At 38.5% G+C, this 22,373-nt stretch overlaps 1 long non-coding RNA gene and 1 pseudogene across 1 annotated transcript in view, besides 1 other annotated feature; both read left to right on the top strand.

Moving 5' to 3' along the window:
• Window positions 1-22,373, top strand: part of LOC105379297 (uncharacterized) — a 132,858-nt gene that overhangs the window by 33,838 nt on the left and 76,647 nt on the right. The gene's annotated exons all lie outside the window — the stretch shown is intronic.
• Window positions 13,582-13,751: an enhancer, noted in NCBI's record as "experimental_102343 CRE fragment used in MPRA reporter constructs". NCBI's record gives its function as "activates a minimal promoter by MPRAs in K562 erythroleukemia cells, with activity observed for the non-introgressed 8:16726078 variant allele {active_cell/tissue: K562}" and the evidence as "EXISTENCE:reporter gene assay evidence [ECO:0000049][PMID:34662402]".
• On the top strand, window positions 18,739-19,039 carry RN7SL474P (RNA, 7SL, cytoplasmic 474, pseudogene; annotated as a pseudogene).

The raw sequence follows: 22,373 nt of genomic DNA, 5'->3' as shown, positions 1-22,373 counted from the left end.
TTTCTACAGCTACTGCAATGATCATATCACATTTATTTATTTATTTTTGTTTAACATGATGAATTACATTGACAGATTTTCAGACGTTAAACTTTGTATTCCTTGGATAAACCCCACTTGGTCATAATGTACTATCCCTCCTCTACCCCCTTTTTCTTTAAGAGACAGAGTCTCACTCTGTCACCCAGGCTGCACCCAGTGGCCATATCACAGCTCACTGCAGCATAGAAATCCTGGGCTCAAGCAATCCTCCCACCTCAATCTTCTGAGTAGCTAGGACTGCAGGCACATGCTACCACATCTGGATAATTGTTTTGCAGAGACAGGCTCTCACTCTGTTTTCCAGTCTGCTTTTGAACTCCTGGTCTCAAGTAATCTTTCTCCCTTTGCCTCTCAAAGCACTTGGACTACAGGCATGTACCATTTTTATATATTGTTGGATTCGATTTGCTAAAATTTTAAGAAGTGTTGCTTCTAAGCTTATGAGGAAGATTGGTCTATAGTTTTCTTATCATGTCTTGTCTGATTTTGGTATCAGGATAGCACTGTCCTCATAGGATAAGTTGAGAAGTGTTTTCTCCTCTTCAATTTTCTGGAAGATTTTATGTAGTATGTATATGTGTATAGCATTAATTAGGCAGTTCTTCCTTAAATGTTTGGTAGGATTTACCAGCGAAAATTTAGAAGGTAAGATTTTTTTTTTCCCTCTGCAAGACTTAATTTTGTATCCTTGGAGATGATATTGCCATGGTTGAGAATGTATGATCTATTGAATTAAAGCTTTTTCACCCATAAACGTGTATTTGTATGTTGTCGAGATATAACTGCATTTATTAATTTTAAAGCCCTCTTAATGCAGAACTGTGCACAAATATAGATAGATATGGTATAGAATATGATATGATGAAGATCCTGAAAATGGATAATAATAAGCTACTAGATAGTTTTTAAAGTAATAAATTAATAAATTTAACAAACACCAGTGATTCACTATGAATATGAGTTTAAAAAAATATTTGTGACAAAATGCACATAAAATTTTACCATCTTAAATGTTTCTAAGTGTGTAGTTTAATAGCGTTAAGTAAATTCATATTGTTGTGCAATGAATTTCCAGAACTTTTTCAACATGTAAAACTGAAACTGTATTCCCATTAAACAATTATTTTCCATTCCCCACTTCTTTCAGTCCCTGGATACCGCCATTCTACTTTGATTCCCGTGAGTTTGATTACTCAAGATATCTCTGGTCTTTGTGTGACTGGCTTATTTCACTTAGCATATTGTCCTCAAGGTTCATTCATATTGTAACATGTGTCAGAATTTTTTTCCTTTTTAAGGTTGAATACTATCCCATTAAATGTATATGCCACATTTTGTTTATCTATTCATCTGTTAATGGATGTTTGGGTTGTTACACCTTTTGGCTATTGTGAATCATGCTGCTTTGGACATAGGCTTACAAATATTTCTTTAAGACTCTGCTTTCTGGCTTTTGGATGTATGTTTAAGAATACGAATTTTAAAGCTGTAGTAATCAAACATATTTCCCAGGACAGAAGTGACAAAAGAAAAATAATGCTAGCTGAGACAAATCCTGGAAGTCAAACTTTATTCTCTTGCTGTGGAATTCTTGTGACAAAACACAGTATGTTTATATCCTCAAGTTTGAGGCTCATACTGATTAAGAACAAACTTAATAGTCTTCATGCCATTTCTTTCAATTCTCAATTTATATTTTGGAATATACTTAATTGGAATACGTGTTCAAATAGCCTTAAAGATAGGAAGAGATCAGTGTATTTCCTGTGTTTCTATGTAATGAGCATGGCTTTTTATTTCTTGTGTATGTGTAGATTATGTCATAGGATATAAAATTATTGGCTAACAATCTTTCTCCTGACGTGACTGTAGACATTGTTCCATTGTTTTCAGAATAAAGGTTTGTGGCTGATATGATTTGTAGTCTTTCATATATAGCTGAATACTTGTGGGTTTAAAATTTTATTCTTGTAATTCAAATATTTTGCCAGGATATGTGTATGTGTGGCTTACATTTATCAAAGGTGGTAAGCCCTGACTAACTGGAAACACTAGACTTTTGTTTTTTAAATATGGGAAATTTCTTCAGTTGTGGGTCTAGCTATTGTCTAGTTTTCCCATTTGTGTTCTTGAATTGAGTTTCTGTTCTTTGTTGTTTTTATTGATTATTATTTTTCTCATTATTTTCAGTTCATTGTGTTTTTTCTTCTCATTCTAGACAGTTTTTGAAGATTGTCTTTGGCCCGATTGATTTGGCTTTTCATGCTACCAAGTTCTGCCCTTTACTACCTTCTCTGTAAATGATAATTCTGCTACTGTATTTTACATGTTCTATAATTTCTCCCTTACTTCCCCTTCTTCATTTAAAATTTCATCATGATTTCTTTTTTATTTATTTATAAAGAAAAGAGGTTTAATTGAATCACAGTATCACATAGCTGGGGAGACCTTAGGAAACTTAACAATCATGGTGGAAGGCACCTCTTCACAGGGTGGCAGGAGAGATCATGAGTGCAAGCAGGGGAAATGCCAGACACTTATAAAAGCATCAGATCTCATGAGATTCACTTATTATCACAAGAAGAGCATTGGGGAACCACCCCACGATCCAATTACGTTCATCTGGTCCCACCCTTGACATGTGGATTATGAGGATTACAATTCAAGGTGAGATTTGGGTGGGGACACAGAGCCAAACCATATCACATATATACTGAGATCAACTAACATGTTTATGGGTTTTAAGTTCACTAATAATGAACTGGACTCTGGGTCACTGTCACAGATGAGAATTCCCATTGCTGGTGAGGAGGTATGTTCCTTTAGAGGAGAAGAGGTGTTCTGATTTTTAGAATTTTCAGCTTTTCTGCTCTGGTTTCTCCCCATCTTTGTGGTTTTATCTACCTTTGGTCTTTGATGATGGTGATGTACAGATGGGGTTTTGGTGTGGATGTCCTTTCTATTTGTTAGTTTTCCTTCTAACAGGACCCTCAGCTGCAGGTCTGTTGGAGTTTGCTGGAGCTCCACTCCAGACTCTGTTTGCCTGGGTATCACCAGCAGAGGCTGCAGAACAGCAAAAATTGCAGAACAGCAAATGTTGCTGCCTGATCCTTCCTCTGGTAGCTTCGTCTCAGAGGGCTACCCGGCTGTATGAGGTGTCATTCGGCCCCTACTGGGAGGTGTCTCCCAGTTAGGCTACTCGAGGGTCAGGGACCCACTTGAGGAGGCAGTCTGTCCATTCTCAGATCTCAGACTCCATGCTGGGAGAACCACTACTCTCTTCAAAGCTGTCAGACAGGGACGTTTAAGTCTGCAGAAGTTTCTGCTGCCTTTTGTTCAGCTATGCCCTGCCCCCAGAGGTGGAGTCTACAGAGGCAGGCAGGCCTCCTCGAATTGCAGTGGGCTCCACCCAGTTCGAGCTTCCCAGCCACTTTGTTTACCTACTCAAGCCTCAGCAATGGCAGGCACCCCTCCCCCAGCCTCACTGCCACCTTGCAGTTCAATCTAAGACTGCTGTGCTAGCAGTGATCGAGGTTCTGTGGGCATGGGACCCTCCAAGCCAGGTGCGGGATATAATCTCCTGGTGTGCCATTTGCTAAGACTGCTGGAAAAGTGCAGTATTAGGGTGGGGGTATCCCGATTTTCCAGGTACTGTCTGTCACGGCTTCCCTTGGCTAGGAAAGGAAATTCCCTGACCCCTTCCACTTCCCGGGTGAGGCGATGCCACGCCCTGCTTTGGCTCACACTCTGTGGCCTGCACCCACTGTCCAACAAGCCCCAGTGAGATGAACCCAGTACCTCAGTTGGAATGCAGAAATCACCCGTCTTCTGCATCGCTCACGCTGGGAGCCGTAAATTGGAACTGTTCCTATTCTGCCATCTTGGAACTCGGAAGCCATAATTTCTTTTTATTTCATTAATTTTCTCTTGTTGCTTTCTTGTTCTGGTTCTTAAAAATTATGTTCACTAGAAACCTACTAAGGAAAACCAAGGTTTTTTTTTTTTTGGTTTTTGCTGTAAACTAATTTTATAGACTGTTGATTTCTCTGAATCTCCAGTATGATGCTTACTTTTCCTTACCTGTGGGAATATTTCTCCCTATGGGCCCAACAATAACCTGCCTTCATCAATTTATTTTTTTCTGCCAAAAGATCTGGTGAGTGAATTTCTCTGCATCTCTTTGTTATTGCCACGGGCGCTATTAAATGCCCTCTTGAGACCTACAGTGCTATGATACTCTCTGATGAATTGTTCCCAGCCCAATCCCTAGTGTTAACAGGTTTTGATTTGTTTGACTTTGTTGGACCGACAAGGGATCTTCTCTTCCTGACACTTTCAACGTGGTATATGAAAAACTACTCCTCTAAATAAGTATCATGACCAGTCCTTTTCATTCACCTGGAGATTTAGTGTAATCTATAAGCACAATCTAGGAAACATGGAAATAAAAAGCCTAGATGAAAACAAAAGTCCTGTAAAATGCTTCCTATGTTGGCTTAAAAACAAATGTGAACTAATGTATCATAAACTATGTAGAAGGCCAATGGCAAATAAAATCACAAATTGACCAAAGCTGGTTGAGCTTGAAGCATGAATGCTTCAAATAGAAATTAAAATGTGTATAGAACGAAAACAGTGAGTGAATTCTGCACCAGCAACGGAGGTACCCAGATTCTGTTGTTGTGGCTGACTAGGCTGTTGGCATGACCCATGGAGAGCAAGGAAAAGCAGGGTGGTGCGATGTCCCACCTGGGAGCCACACAGGGCAAGGGGCGCTCCCACCCCCAGCCAAGGGAGGTGTTGAGTGATCGTGCTACCCTGCCCAGGAAACCATACTTTTTCCATGGATCTGTACAACCCGCAGATCAGATCAGGAGGTCTCCATCATGAACCCTTGTTACCAGGGCATTGGGTACCAAGCACAGAGTTGTGCAGATTCTCAGTGGCCACTTGGCTGGAGACTGCCTAAGACTACTGAGTTCTGAGGGGAGGGGCGGCCATCATCACTGCAGCTCCAGTCTGCCATTTTCCCCTTGCTGGTGCTGGGGGCACTGGATGGTTTGGACCCAGGAGGAACTCCCCACAGCACAGCACAGTGGCTGTGGCAGATCATGGCGAGATTGCCTCTTTAGGCCAGACCCTGACCCATCCCTCCTCACTGGGCAGGACCTCCCTGCAGTAATTTCAGCAACTCCAACCAGGAGTTTAGGGACAGAACTCTGATCTCCCTGGGACTGAACCTCTGGGGGAAGGGGCAGCCTCAATCTCCACAGAACAGCATACTGTCCTTGTGCTTGCTCTGAGGAATCTGGGCAGTCCAGATGAGTGGGATTCCCCCAGCAGTGTAACCCCTCCACCAAGGGGCAGGCAGAGTGCTTCATTAAGTAGGTCCCAAATCTGGTGCCTCCTGACTGGGTGAGACCTCACAACACCGGTCGCCAGACATCTTACACAGGAGCATTCCTGCTGGCCACAAGTTGGTGCCCCTCTGGGATGGAGCTCCAAGAGGAAGAAGCAGGCAGCCATCTTTGCTGTTCTGCAGACTTCACTGGTGACACCTCCAAGGGTGGGAGGGATCCAGGTGAATGGGGTCTGGGGTGGACCCCCAGCAAACCACAGCAGCCCTATGGAAGAGGGGCCTGACTTTTAAAAGAAAAACAAACAAACAAACAAACAAACAAACAGAAAGCAGCAGCAACAACAGTATCAACAGAAAAGTCCCCACAAAAACCCCATCCAAGATCAACAGCCCCAAAGATTGAAGCTACATAAACTCACAAAGATGAGAAAGAAACAACAAAACAATGCTAAAAACTCAAAAAGCCAGAGTGTCTCTTCTCCTCTAAACATTCACAATACCTCTCCAGCAAGGGCACAGAACTGTGAGGATGCTAGGATGGATGAATTGACAGCAGTAGGCTTCAGAAGGTGGGTAATAATGAACTTTGCTGGGCTAAAGGAGCATGCTCTAACCCAATGCAAAGAAGGTAAGAGCCATGATAAAACATTACAGGAGCTGTTAACCAGAATAACCAGTTTAGAAAGGAACATAGAAGACCTGATGGAGCAGAAAAACACAAAACGAGAACTTCACAATGCAATCACAAGTATCAATAACTGACTAGACCAAGCAGAGGAAAGAATTTGAGAGCTTGAAGACTATCTTGCTGAAATAGGGCAGACAGACAAGATTAAAGAAAAAGGAATGAACAAAACCTCTGAAAACTATGGGATTATGTAAAAAGACTGAACTATGACTAATTGGGGTACCTGAAAGAGACAGGTAGAACAGAATCAAGTTGTAAAACATACTTCAGGATATCATTCAGGAGAACTTCCCCAATCTAAAAAGACAGGCCAACATTCATATTCAGGAAATTCAGAGAACCCCTGTAAAATACTACATGAGAAGATCAACCCCAAGACACATAATCATCAGATTCTCCAAGGTCAAAATAAAGGGAAAAATGTTAAGGGCAGCCATAGAGAAAGGCCAGGTCACCTACAAAGGGAAGCCCATCAGGCTAACAGTGGACCTCTCAGCAGAAACCCTATAAGCCAGAAGAGATTGGGAGCCGATTTTCAACATTCTTAAATAATAGAATTTCCAACCCAGAATTTCATTTCCAGCCAAACTAAACTTCATAAGTGAAGATGAAATAAAATCCTTTCCAGACAAGCAAATGCTGAGGGAATTCATCACCACCAGGTCTGCCTTGCAAGAAGAGCTCCTGAAGTAAGCACTAAATATGGACAGGAAAAACTATTATCAGCCACTGCAAAAACACACTGAAGTACACAAACAAATGACACTATGGAGCAACTTCACCAACAATTCTGCAAAATAACCAGCTATTATCATGATGACAGGATCAAATTCAGATATGTAATAATATTAACCTTAAATGTAAATGAGCTAAGTGCCTCAATTAAAAGACACAGAATGGCAAGCTGGATAAAGAGTCAAGATCCTTCAGTGTGTTGTATTAAAGAGACCCATCTCACGTGCAAAGACACACACAGGCTCAAAATAAAGGGACGGAGGAAATCCTACCAAGCAAATGGAAAGCAGAAAAAAGCAGGGGTTGCAATCCTAGTTTCTGACAAAACAGACTTTAAACCAACAAAGATCAAAAAAGACAAAGAATGGCATTACATAATGGTAAAGGGATCAATTCAACAAGAAAAGCCAACTATCCTAGATATATATGCACCCAATACAGGAGCACCTAGATTCAAAACACAAATTCTTAGAGACCTACAAAGAGACTTTGACTCCTATACAATAATAGTGGGAGACTTTAACACCCCACTGTCAATATTAGACAGATCATTGAGACAGAAAAATTAACACAGATATTCAGGACTTAAACTCAGCTCTGGATCCAGTGGACCTGATAGATATCTACAGAACTCTCCACCCCACAATTACAGAATATACATCATTATTGGCACGACATGGTAGTTCTCTAAATTGATCACTTAATCGGAGGTAAAACATCCCTCAGCAAATGCAAAAGAACTGAAATCATAACAGTCTCAGACCACAGCATAATGAAGTTAGAACTCAAGATTAGGAAACTCACTCAAAACCACACGACTACATGGAAATTGAACAACCTGCTCCTGAATGACTCCTGGGTAAATAATGAAATAAAGGCAGAAATCAAGAAGTTCTTTGAAACCAGTGAGAGCAAAGAGACAATGTACCAGAATCTCTGGGATGCAGGTAAAGCAGTGTTAAGAGGAAAATTTATAGCACTGAATGCCCACAACAAAAAGTTAGAAAGATCTCAAATCAACACCCTAACATAACAACTGAAAGAACTAGATAACCAAGAGCAAACAAACCCCAAAGCTCACATAAGACAAGAAATAACCAAGATCAGAGCAGCACTGAAAGAAATAGGTAGGTACACAAAAAAAACCTTCAAAAAAATCAATGAATCCAGGAAATGTTTTTTTGAAAAAATTAATAAAATAGACCTCTAGTTAGACTAATAAAGAAGAAAAGGGAGAAGAATCAAATAGACACAATAAAAGATGATAAAGGGGTTATTACCATTGACCCCACAGAAACACAAATGACCATCAGAGAATACGTTAAACAACTCTATGGAAATAAACCAGAAAATTTAGAAGAAATGGATAAATTCCTGGACACGTAGACCCTCCCAAGACTAAACCAGGAAAAAGTTGAATCCCTGAATAGAGCAATAACAAGTTCTGAAATTGAGGCAGGACTAAATATCCTACCAACCATAATATCCTGGGATCAGATGGATTTACAGCTGAAATCTATCAGAGGTACAAAGAGAAGCTAGTACCATTTCTTTTGAAACTATTCCAAAAAAATGAAAACAAGGGACTTCTGTCTAACTCATTTTATGAGCTCAGCATCATCCTGAAAGCAAAACCTGGCAGAGATACAACAAAAAAAGAAAACTTCAGGCCAATATCCTTGATGAACATCAATGCAAAAATCCTCGATAAAATACTTGCAACCTGATCCATCAGCATATCAAAAAGCTTATTTACCAAGATCAGCTTTATCCCTGGGATACGAGGCTGGTTCAACATATGCAAATCAGACGGAATTCATCACATAAAGGGAACTAAAGACAAAAATCACATGATTATCTCAATATACAGAAAAGGCCTTCAATAAAATTTAACATCCCTTCATGTTAAAAACTCTCAATAAGCTAAGTTTTGATGGAACATACCTGAAAATAATAAGAGCTATTTATGACAAACTGAAAGCCAATATCATACTGAATGGGCAAAAGCTGGAAGCATTCCCCTTGAAAGCTGGCACAAGACAAGGATGCCCTCTCACACTACTATTCCTATTCAACATAGTATTGGAAGTTCTGGCCAGGGCAATCAGGCAAGAGAAAGAAATACAGGGTATTCAAATAGGAAGAGAGGAAGTCAAAATTACTCTATTTGCAGATGACATGATCCTATATCTGGAAAGCCCCCAGCATCTCAGCTCAAAAGCTTCTCAAGCTGATAAGCCACTTCAGAAAAGTCTCAAGATACAAAATCATTTTGCAAAAATCACAAGCATCCCTACACACCTAAAATAGGCAAGCAGAGAGCCAAATCATGGGTGAATTCCCATTCATAATTGCTAAAAAGAGAATAAAATATGTAGAAATATAGCTAAGAAGAGAAGAAAAGGACCTTTTCAAGGAGAACTACAAACCACTGCTCAAGGAAATGAGAGGACACAACAAATAGAAAAACATTCCATGCTCACACATAGGAAGAATCAATATTGTGAAAATGGCCATATTACCCAAAATAACTTAGAGATTCAATGTTATTCCCATTAAACTATCATTGACATTCTTCACAGAATAAGAAAAAAACGACTTTAAAATTCATATGCAACCAAAAAAGAGCCCATATAGCCAAGACAATCCTAAGCAAAAAGAACAAAGCTGGAGGCACCACACTACCTGACTTCAAACTATACTACAAGGCCATAGTAAGCAAAACAGCGTAGTACGCGTACAAAAACAGACACATAGACCAATGGAATGGGATAGAGATCTCAGTAATGAGACCACACATCTACAACCATCTGATCTTCAAAAAACCTGACAAAAACAAGCAATGGGGAAAGGATTCCCTGTTTAATAAATGGTGCTGGGAGAACTGGCTAGCCATATGCAGAAAATTGAACTGGACCCCTTATTTGCACCTTATACAAAAATTAACTCAAGATAGCTTAAAGCCTTAAATGTAAAATCCAAAACTATAAACACCCTAGAAGAAAATCTAGGCAATACCATTCAAGACATAGGCACGGGCAAGGATTTCATGACAAAAACATCAAAAGCAATTGCAAGAAAAGCAAAAAGTGACAAATGGGATCTAATTAAACTAAAGACGTTCTTCATAGCAAAAGACACTATCATCAGGGTGAACAGACAACCTATAGAATGGGAGAAAATTTTTGCAAACTACCCATGTGACAAAGATCTAATATCCTCAATCTACAATGAACTTAACCAAATTTACAAGAAATAGAAACAACCCCATTAAAAAGTGGGGAAGGACATGAAGAGACACTTCTCAAAAGAAGACATTTATGCAACCAACAAATATATGAAAGAAAGCCCAACATCCCTGACCATTAGAGAAATGCAAATCAAAACCACAATGAGATGCCATCTCAAGCCAGTCAGAATGGCAATTATTAAAAAGTCAAGAAACAACAGATCCTGACAAGGCTTTAGAGAAATAGGAATGCTTTTACACTGTTGGCGGGAATGTAAATTAGCTCAACCACTGTGGAAGAAAGTGTGGCAATTCCTCAAAGACCTGGAACCAGAAATAACATTTGGTCCAGCAATCCCATTACTGGGTATATGCCCCAAGGAATATAAATCATTCTATTATAAAGATACATCCACACGTATATTCATTGCAGCTCTATTCATGATAGCAAAGACATGGAATCAACCCAAATGCTCTTCAGTGATAGACTGGATAAAGAAAATGTGGTACATATATACCATGGAATACTATGCAGCTGTAAAAAGTAGTGAGATCATATCATTTGTAGGGACATGGATAGATCTGGAAGTCATTATCCTCAGCAAACGAACACAAGAACAGAAAACCAAACAGTGCATGTTCTTACTTATAAGTGGGAGTTGAACAATGAGAACACATAGACACAGGGAGGGGAATAACACACACTGGGGCCATTCGGGGATGGGGCAGGAGGAGGGAGAACATCAGGATAAATAGTTAATGCCTGTGGGGCTTAATACCTAGGTGATGGGTTAGTAGGTGCAGCAAGCCACCATGGCACACGTTTACCTATGTAACAAACCTGCACGTCCTGCACATGTATTCTGGAACTTAAAATTAAGTTAAAAAAAAAAGAAATTAAAATATGTGAGTTCAAAGGCATTTGTTTAAATTTGTGAGTTGGAAACGGATTATATCATGAAATGTGAAAACTCAAGTAGCACCCTTTGCCTAAAGTATAAGAGTTATCTTTAAGTATTATTTTCTCTTCCTTGTTTCTTCTTCTCACCTTCCTCTCTCCCTAGCCTCATCCTTTCTATGTGAATTTGGGCTGAGATTGAAGACACAGTTATAGAACCTGACAGCATATGTAGAAACTGTTCTTGCCGGTGTGAGATAACTGGCTATGTCTATTTAAATTTAACTCCATTTAAACTCCATTTCAATTGTGAGTTGCAGATGCATAGTGCCTAATTTATGTGTTATACACACACGTAAATACACAAATACATACATATAAATATATGTGTGTGTGTATCCATGTCTCTCTCTCTCTAGATATATAAACTATATATATATACTTATTTCCAAGAAATATGTTTTTGATTACTAATTTTTTAAAAAGTAATATGGGAGTGATTCATTTCCAAATAGTCTTATACTTCTTTATCATGGCAATTCAATATAAAGCAAATGTGGAAACAATGTCACTGATTTAAAAGGAGGAGAAGCATATAAGCAGTAAATCATGCTTCCTTATTAATACAAGAGATAGAGAAATAGTTTTGCTACTCTTTTCCCATCTTTATCATTTTCCTCTGGATTTGGACTTTAAAACTATAATCATTAAGCTCAGTTTTTATATTTTATTTTATTTTTAAGTTTTAAGCTTTGTGGGAACATAGTAGGTGTATATATTTATGGGGTACTGAGATATTTTGATACAGGCATGCAATTTTAATTATCACATCATGAAGAATGGGGTATCCATCTCTTCAAGCATTTCTTTGTATTTTAATGCGATTATACTCTTAGTTATTTCAAAATGTACAATTATTACTGACTATCATCACCTTGTTGTACTATCAAATAGTAGGTCTTATTGGTTTTGATATTAAAAAAATACTTTGAAAGCAGGTTATGTAAAGCTTTACAGTTTGACTATTGCTTTTTTGTACACCCTGGGTGGGTAAAGCTTTAAACTCCTCAGGTGTCTTGAGGAACTATCAATGGACCATTAAACAGCTATATTATGCCATAGAACTATATTCCTGGCAACATTTGACCCGTGTCATCATGTCCTTCCTTGCACATCTTCTAAAATAACAGTCCGACAGCTTTATGTACCCATGTGTGGCGTGGTAATGTGATCTCAGGCAGGTTGTAGGGATCATGTTCAGCTCAGATATGTTGACCTGTGGTCAAACAATGGGTAATATGTCAATCACAGAACTCATATTCAATACAAGAACTTTGTTTTAAGCCATGACATACTTTGGTATATGTCACTTTTGTGTAAATCTTTAGCTGAAATTATAATGTTGAGGAAAAGATATGGGTAAATGTATTTCTGAGTCCTTTCTGTTTTTCTTCTCTTAATGTGTGCACCCCAATCAACTGCCAGTCAAATTCATGGAATTCACTTCATGCATATCTTTGGGAATGCTTTATGGCCATGAGAGTCAAATGAAAAAGGTAACAGAGGAAAGGAAAATGACTCCTAAGGAAAGGATGAGAGATAAATTGAATGATGCACAATTTATTGCCTTGAAAGATGGATAGGATACAGATTGGTAAAATAGATTCGCTATGTTGGGCAAAGAGCTTAGGTTTTATATGGAAGACAAGATTTTGGAGAAGAGTAGAAACCTGATATGAATCAGTATTTTAGAAACATTAATAAAGCAGTGGGCCACAGGAGAGCCAGGAGTAGGAGATGATTAGAAAGGGGAGAATATAACTGTATTAGCCTACAAGTCTTGAGGTAAGAGACATAGAGTTTAGAAGGAAGGTGACACCCAATAAGAGAGAAAGAGGCAAGTTCAAGAGGAATGTTACTTGATGAAATTTTAGAATTTGGAATTGGCACATGATTGGCTAAATGAAGTGGTAGTAGGAGGAATCTACTAATTAGGTGAACTGAAATGTGTATTTCTAAATATTTCTCCTTAAATTATACTTCAATAAAACCGTAAATGATATTAGCTCATATATTTCCAAATACAGGGCACTCCACCTAGGAAGTTAGAAAAGTTTGTTAATAATTGAGGAAAAAGAGAGATAATTGGGATTGAAGATAGTGAAAGGAGATCACAGCTGGAGAGCAGGAATAGGTTTCCCCCCACAAAATAGCCTTGGGCTGTATGAAGTCAGTAGGTGCTTTGAAATTCTATTTCTGTGTCCAAGGGTATGAGGAGCCCACAAGAGCCAGGTCAGAAGTTGCTGATAAGTACTTATCTGGCTTAGAGTTAACATGGGCGGACCTAAAAGTCTTTAAGTTGGCATTAGGGGAAAGGTGGTTGAAGAAATACCATGGCAAAGTCTTATGATAGCACACATTTATTTCCTCTGTGGCAGGCACTTTTCCAAGACCTTTACATATTGTCATTTGGCCATCGCAATAATTTTATGAGATAGGTATTCTTACTCTCCCCCCAATCTCACCTATTCTCATGTTACAGGTGAGAAGTCTGAGACCCAGAGAGGTTGAATAACTTGATTTGTGTAACATAGCTGATGAATATTAGATCAGAATTAAAGTGCTGATGGTCTGACTTCAACAACTTTAGACTCTTGGACACTATGTTAAATTGTCTCATGCTGCATACTTGGAGATATCTTTAATTATCCTGAGTTAAATAAGTCAATGTGAGTTACCCAAAGCTTTCTCTGCAACATGTATCAAACATATACTGAATAGATGGGGTCCCTTTAAAATCAGAATGTGGAAGTCAATGAAATACAATTGTTTGATTTCACTCTTGTATTGGATAATATTGGTATCTGCCTTTATGCTTGTTCCTACAAAATCTGTTCTGCTTACCCTCGCATGGCTCACCTGCTTCCATCTGTGGGATGCAGGCTCTCCATGCTCTGGGGTTTCTACCTGTGTTGGCAAGAAGCAGGCGCACAAGCGGAGGCATAAGCCCTCTAGGCTTCCTCACTGACTTTCTGATATCCCCATTTCCATGTAGACTGAATTCCTGATACTCCAACTGTAGTAAATAACTGTCAGCAGGAGCATCACTTCAGCTCTTACCTTGGAACTGTTAAATCAGAAGCTGCGCTTTAATAAGATTCTCAGGTATCATGTGTGCACATTCAAATTTGAGAAGCACTGACCTAAGTGTCTTTACTGCTCAGCAGCTGACCTATCTGTGTGGTACCTGATTTCAAGTGCAGTTTCTGATGTATTGTGAAACCTTTGTTTCTGGCACCTGGGTTTGTAGGTATCTAAGTGGTTTCTCAAACACATCTCCGTCCAGACTTCTAATGTTTGCAGATTTCTCTATTTTTTCCATTTCTAGTTTCTTGTTCTGTCTCTTCCATGGTCTATCCCTACTTGTGGTCTTAGAACTAAAGAAATAATAATAATTATATTACTTGTTTCCTTATAAAAAATCACAAAATGAAGATATGTAACTAAAGGAACTATTAACCTAGGTGGACATTTGTATCAATTATTTGGACCAATATTTTGGCTGTTTTTGGACTATGGCAATGCAATTAATCAACAGAGCCCTCTTTCCCTCCACTCATTCCATATCTGCAGTACGTGGCATTATATGTGAAACGAGAACTCGGTAATAGTTCTTATTTTCTCATTATGTTAAACAAAAAGACAATTAATTACTTATCATTTTTCAATGGGTGATGATTGAAAGACATGAATGTCTTTGGTTGCCTTTCTCAGAAGTGTAGCAGAGGTCAACTGGCTGATTCCTCTGTTGCTACTTCTAGGATTCCTACGGTGTGTGAGATATTTACTCAATTTAAGTATTAGTCATCCATGGGGATTTCCTGTGTAATAACTCTTACAGGTATAATTTCAAAGAAGAGCATAAAGGTGTGTTTACAGACATCCACCCACACCCCTTTCCCTGAAGAGTGTACTTTTTAAGTGTTACTGTGATGAATCTTCTTTGAAGATTCAATGTCAGGTAGAACCTAAAAAAAAATGTTTTTCTCAGTAGATTTACAAAAGAAAGTTTTATCTAGTGAGTTTAGAAAATGGCACAGGGTTGGGTACAGAAGAAAAAATCAAAATGCATAGTACTTTTAAAATTATGAATTAAGAATTTGAAAACTAAATGATAGAGTCATGAGAAACAAGGAATTATTCCTTTGTGCTCTAGTTATGACATTTGTGCAGTTGTTACTATTCTGTTCCCTTATTTATTTTTCATAGGCCTGCATTGAAGAGCATACACAAAGCCTCTGTCAAATAACGTCTCTACATATCCCACTGACACTGCAAAGTTTAGACATTTGGAAAGATTCTACTCTCCCAAGGAGAGTCTGCAGCTGAGGAGCAGTGGCATACAGAATTAAACTTCCAGGAAAATCCCTGGGTCACTTTGTAACCTTTTGAAAACAGCTTTATCCTAAATTGATCTCCAAAGGCAAAGACAAGTAATAACAACAAGAAATGCAAAGGCAAATAATAATGAGAAACACGTGCTTATTCTTCGAGGTGGCTGAATCGAAGCTTTTTTTTATTTTTTATTTTTAAGTGATGCTCTAGGACTCTAAGGCTGTGCCATCACATAGTGAGCAAAGAGCTCTTGTTCTTTGATTTTATTTCTGGTTCATGGTTTTATTATAGAATCTTCACCATCTCCAGTGATTTGTAAAATCTTCACCATCTCCAGTGATTTGTAGAGTGAAGCTGATTGTGTGGGAAGCCATACTGAATTTTGCAAAACTGATAGGATATTCTTTGATGTGTAGAGACATAGTTTTTGATTGTGCTATATGGATTTGCCACTGAGGCAAAAACTAGTTTTAAGTCCTATTTAGGGACAAGGCGAGGATTGGAGTAATTTTCTAAAAATGTAATAGAAGAGGTTCCACACTTTATAATCTCAGAATGCAGAGGTAGTCAGGGGAAAGGGCAGTCTTTAAGATGGAATAAATTTTAAGTCTCATCAAATAGGAACATACCTGGAGTGTTCCTTTTGGCAGTAGCATGTCTCAAGGAGCTACATACAAGATGATATAGAGCTTTCCTTTACATAATTACACTATCTATTGGTACAGATGTTTGATTTCTTCTCTGACCTTCTAGTCACATAATTTTATATTTATACACCAATCTATCTAAATTCAATCCATTTTTCAAGGCCAAGCACTATGTGTTATATTGTGTTATATTTTTGTTCTATGATATTCTTCTTCTTTCATGGGGTCAACCTTGTCTGAGTCAGCACAGGATTTTACATTTTTTTTTTCTAGAAGTCATCACATGGCTAACCTAGTTTAAATCACTCAATTTTTAGTTGAAAGAAGAGAAGCCCCAAAAGATAACATAATGCATGGCTCAGGCAGGACAAAGATTTTTGTTTGTGTTGTTGTTGATGCTCTTTATACCTTTAAATGCTATATTTTTTGGCACTTAGAGAAATACTGCTTTGCAATATTTGTCAATTCTAAATGTGCTTTTATATTTTTTCCCAAACTAGAAGCTCCTCGAAGGTAAGAATATGGTTTTCTTCAGTATCTGTACAGAGATTAGCACAGTGGCTACCATATAGTACGAGGAATCCTATATGCAATAAAGGGAAATCCTGTATATTAGGTAGCAATTGCTGTAACAAAGCTGTATAATAATGTCCTCCAATATTTGGTGGCTTAAAACAGCAATTATTATTATATGTGATTTGGATACAAATTGGCTGATTTAAATTGGGCATGGCTGGTTCTGCTGCAAGCCATGGGTCCACTTGGGCTTTGTATCTTCCTGTAGGCTGGGCTCAGGCTTACTCCAGGTGTATTAATTCTACAGTCCAGGCTGAAGGAATAAGAACTATCCAAGGGAAGCTCATCTTGTCCGATGGTAGAGGTGTGAGAGGGCAAGTTCAACAGCTAAGGCATGTTTCCAACCTCATTTCGCATCACCGCTGCTATGATTTCATTCGCCAAAGCAAGCATGAGGCTAAAGTTAAGGAGTCAGATGTTTGATATTAAGGAGTCAGAATTCTTTTGGTCCACTCTTAGGCTAAAGCAAGTCCCATGGGTGAAGAGGAGAATGGAATATATACTGAATAAGAATCTACCGCAAACTTAATCCTATACCCTGAAGGCATTCCTGTTCCTGCTAAGACTCTCTCCACTCTTGGTAGATTTTTGTTTCCCTGAAGTAATCATTAATAGCGCCCCCTTCCAATGTCTATGATGTACTAGTTTTAGTGAGAAATGTTATGATCCCTCTAATTAAGAGAATACAGGGGCACCTCTTTAAATTTCCCATCAGTTATTCCAATCCATTGGCAATGGCTCAGCATTTAAAGTGATGTATGAGTATCCATGGGTGTCAATAGAAAGAACTTTCCAAAAATAGTAGGAGCACAAAAAATAAAACAAGAAAATGATTCTTGAAACAGTAATGTCATCAGATAAAACAGAGGAGAGTAAGTATGAGCTCTAAAAGGAGGAATTAAATGCAGAGGTTTCAGGGGGATATTTCAGCCAGAAGCTGGAAACAGTCTGGTAACATGGCATTTATTCTTTGCTCTGTGTCATACTATTTCTTCATTTATGTGAATGCATGTATAAACTAGACTGCATGTGTTTGTAAAAGTCTATAACTCCTACCAACATACTTAGTGGATACTTTATGTTTTATGAATTTAAAAACAGGCCGGGCATGGTGGCTCACGCCTGTAATCTCAGCACTTTGGGAGGCCATGGTGGGTGGATTGCTTGAGGTCAGGAGTTTGAGACCAGCCTGGCTAACATGGTGAAACCCCGTCTCTACTAAAAATACAAAAAAATTAGCTGGGTATGGTGGCACGGACCTGTAATCCCAGCTACTCAGGAGGCTGAGGCAGGAGAATCACTTGAACCCGGGAGGCGGAGGTTGCAGCGACTTGAGATCGCGCCGGTGCACTCCAGCCTGGGCGACAGAGAGAGACTCCATCTCAAAAAAACAAAACAAAACAAACAAACAAGAAGGGTTTTAAATTTTTAAGAAAGAGTTTGTGTGTATACATTATTCTTGTGTGTACATTACATACAAAATGTACATTATATATTATATATGCACTTACAATACGTGTAGTATATACATTATATATTATATATAAATACCATACATACATGAATACACATACACATACATACCACACATACATAGATACAGTTATGTCTTGCTTAATGACAGGAATATGTTCTGAGAAATATATCAAATGATTTCATTGTCTTGTAAGCACCATAAAGCGTACTTGGGCAAACCTAGGTGTAGCCTACTATACAGCTAGGTTCCATGGCATAGCCCATCACCCCTAGGCTACAAACCTATATGGCATGTTACTCTACTGAATACTGTAGGCAACTGTAACTCAAGGATAAATATTTGTGTATCTAAACATATATGAATACTGAAAAGGTACAGTAAAATTATAGTATAAAAGATAAAAGATGGTATACCTGTATAGGGCACTTACCATGAATGGAGCTTGCAGGACTGGGTGTTGCTCTGGGAGAGTGAGTGGTGAGTGAATTCGAAGGCCTAGGACATTACTGTTCGCTACTATAGACTTTGAAAACACTGTACACTTAGGGTACGCTGAATTTATAAAAAAAATTTTTTGTGCCTGTAATCGCAGCACTTTGGGAGGATGAGGCAGGTGGATCACAAGGTCAGGAGTTTGAGACCAGCCTGACCAACATGGTGAAACCCCGTCTGTACTAAAAATACAAAAATTACCCGGGCATGGTGGCGCACGCCTGTAATCCCAACTACTCGGAGGCTGAGGCAGGAGAATCGCTAGAACCCAGGAGGCGGAGGTTGCAGTGAGCCCAGATCGTGCCACTGCACTCCAGCATGGGTGACAGAGCAAGACTCTGTCTCAAAAAAAAAAAAAAATTGTTTCTTCAATAATTTTGTTGTTGTTGTTGTTTTGATTTTGAGACAGAGTCTCACTCTGTCACCAGGCTGGAGTGTTGTGGCAAGATCTCGGCTCACTGCAACCTCCACCTCCTGGGTTCAAGCGATTCTCCTGCCTCAGTCTCCAGAGTAGCTGGGATTACAGGTGCATGCCACCACGCCCAGCTAATTTTTGATTTTTGTATTTTTAGTAGAGATGGGCTTTCACCATGCTGGCCAGGATGGTCCTGATCTCCTGACCTCGTGATCCGCCTGCCTCGGCCTCCCAAAGTGCTGGGATTACAGGCGTGAGCCATGGTGCCCAGCCTGTTTCTTCAATAATTAACCTTAGCTTAATGTAACTTTTTTACTTTATAGACTTTTAAATTAATTATAATAATTATAATAATTTAGCTTAAAGTATACATTGTATAGCTGTATATATTTTCTTTCTTTTTATCCTAATTCTATAAGCCTTCTTCTATTTTTAATTTTGTTTTCACTTTTTAAATTTTAGTATTAAAAATGAAAATACAAACATGCACATTACTTTAGACCTACACAAGGTCAAGATTGTCAATATCACTGTCTTCAATCTCTACATCTTGTCTGGCTGGAACATCTTCAGGGACAATAAGCATGGAACAGTCATCTCCTGGGATAACAATGCCTTCTTCTCCTTTTTTTTTTTTTTGAAACAGAGTCTTACTCTGTTGCCCAAGCTGGAGTGCAGTAGTGCAGTCTCAGCTCACTGCAACCTCTGTCTCCTGGGCTCAAGTGATTAGCCTGTCTTAGCCCCCCACGTAGCTGGGAGTACAGGTGCAAGCCACCATGCCTGGCTAATTTTTGTATTTTTTGTAGAGATGGGGTTTCACCATGTGGCCCAGGCTGGTATCAAACTCCTGAGCTCAGGCAATCCACCCTCATCTGCATCCCAAAGTGCTGGGATTACAGGCATGAGTCACCTCACCCAGCCAATAATGCCTTCTTCTGGAATGTTCCTGAGGGACCTGCCTGGGGCTGTTTTAGAGTTAGCTTAAAAAAAAAAATAAGTAGAAGGGGTACATTCTAAAATAATGATAAAAGACATAATATAGTAAATACATAAACCAGTAACATAGTGGTTTGTTATCATGATCAAGTATTATGCACTGTATACAATACATGTGCTTATACTTTTTTACAATTGGCAGCACAATTGGCTGGTTCGCACCGTTATCACCACAAATGTGAGTAATGTGTTGCAGTGTGACATTTGATGCCTATGTTACTAGCTGATAGGTATTTTTTGGCTCAGTTATAATCTAACGGGTCCATTATTGTATATGTGGTCCATCCTTGACCCAAATGTCATTACCGTATACCTGTAAATTTCTGTAGAATTTTCCTTTAAGGATTTAATTTTTTGCTTCCGTCAATTCCCATAACATTTCTCTAAGCAGGTATGGAAGTGAAATTCATAAGTACTATTGTAGACTTTTATAGATAAAGAAAACCTAAGGAAATCAATATGCAAGACAACATAAAGATGCTCTGTATGTGATTGAAGCAGATAACACAAATACCCTCTTTGACCAAATGCTGTTAGTTAAACAGATTTCTTGGCACAGCTAAGTCAGCTCTTTGAGCAAACCAACGTCCTCTTAGTCCTTACCTTTTTCAAAGGACATTATAGGAGTTTCAACAAAGAAATGAAAAGCAGATAAAGAGATTTGGGTTAATTTAAAAAAACAAATGAAGAAGTGATAAGAGGCTTTTAGGAAAGATAACCTGCCACTGTCAGGTGAGGGGACCAACTCAACCATAAGAGGGAGGACGGTGGGGCTCTGTGGTCTTAATGCACAGAGTAAACGCTTCCCTGAAACAAGCTCTGAAGGTGTGAAAATAAAGATAATTTCAGGAAGGAGACTTTAAGAGAGGCTTTAAAGTTAGCTTCTTTCTTGGCTTCTGTTCTTTGAGACCAGAAATACTGAGCTTGCATCAGCAGGTGAGTGATGGAATTGGCGATGAAGCCAGGACTCCTGACTACTGTTATGGTACACAGCATTATTGCAGCAGTCTCAAGGCAAGCAAATAAGTACCAATAGAAATAAGAAACATTTTTAAGCATTTCAACAGAATTACTTCTTTTCCACCAAATATGTAAGAGAGTGCTTTTTAAAAAGTACACATTTAAATGTGTGATTTTAAATTATCAGGTTAAATCCAATTGTAATGAAGACAATTTTAACAAAGATACTGCTATAAAAGAATTCTCCAGGACTTACTTGTACCCCATTCCTCCTTTCTCCTACTCTCCTAGTGTCTACTGGCAGCGCTTTATTTATTTATTTTTTTGTAATTTGTTTTATTTTACTTTAAGTTCTGGGATATATGTGCAGAATGTGCAGGTTTGTTACGTAGGTATACACGTGCCATGGTGGTTTGCTGCACCCATCAACCCAGCATCTAGGTTTTAAGCCCTGCATGCATTAGGTATTTTTCCTAATGCTCTCCCTCCCCTTACTCCCCACCCCCCAAAAGGCCCCGGTGTGTGATGTTCCCCTCCCTGTGTCCATGTGTTCTCATTGTTCAACTCCCACTTATAAATGAGAACATGTGGGATGAAGCTGACAGCTCTTTAAATATGAAATATATACAGAGGCAGATATATAGATGCTTTCCAATCTACCTAACACTGACCCCTATTTAAACCCCATGCTTCCATTTCTATCTGCTTATGGAACAGTGTGTATGTATTATTCCCACTTCAGATGCAGTTTTGCTAAAAAATTATTGTCATCATTCTTTTCCACAAACCAGATTTCTTTTGAAAGTTCCAAATTCTCTCAATATTGCTACCATTTTTTGACATCTTAGCATAATCCTTCCTTCCTACTTATCTTTGAATCACTCCACCCATAGCTGCTGATCGAATCTGTTACTTTGTTTTCTATGTGATACTGTTGAAGATTCTATCTCCCTTGTCATTCACACTATTTCTACTTCCTTTTCACACATCAGTCACTCCTCACCTGAGTGTGGTGACAACCTCTTAACTGGATCCCCTGCCTACACACAATTTTCTTTTTCTAATCTATTTTAGATCACATTGTTCTTGAAAATAAAAATCTTAAAAAAATTTTTAACATGTCTTTTGTTCAAACACCTTCAATACCTATGACTAGGAGAATAAAGTCCAAGTTCTTAAGCTAACAACCAGAAATTTCTTAGTTCTTAGCTTCCCCTCTACTTTCTATTCTCAATCTTAGCTTCCCCTCTACTTTCTATTCTTACAATTCATTTTTTTTCAGATAAAAAACAATCAGTTGTATTCCTTCAGCTCTACTTAGAAAAGAGATGTTTTATGATGGTTTTATCTTGTTAAAATTGATTTTTAATTTTAAAATAATAAGTAAATTTTAAAGATTAAAATTTCAGTACTGTTTTTAACTTATAAAATATGGTAAAAATGTACATTCCAGATTAATTTGGG

This window comes from Homo sapiens, chromosome 8 (assembly GCF_000001405.40).
Source record: "Homo sapiens chromosome 8, GRCh38.p14 Primary Assembly".
Classification (NCBI taxonomy): domain Eukaryota; kingdom Metazoa; phylum Chordata; class Mammalia; order Primates; family Hominidae; genus Homo; species Homo sapiens.
Note: the sequence above shows the minus strand (reverse complement) of the source record. Positions and strands in the feature narration are given on the sequence as shown.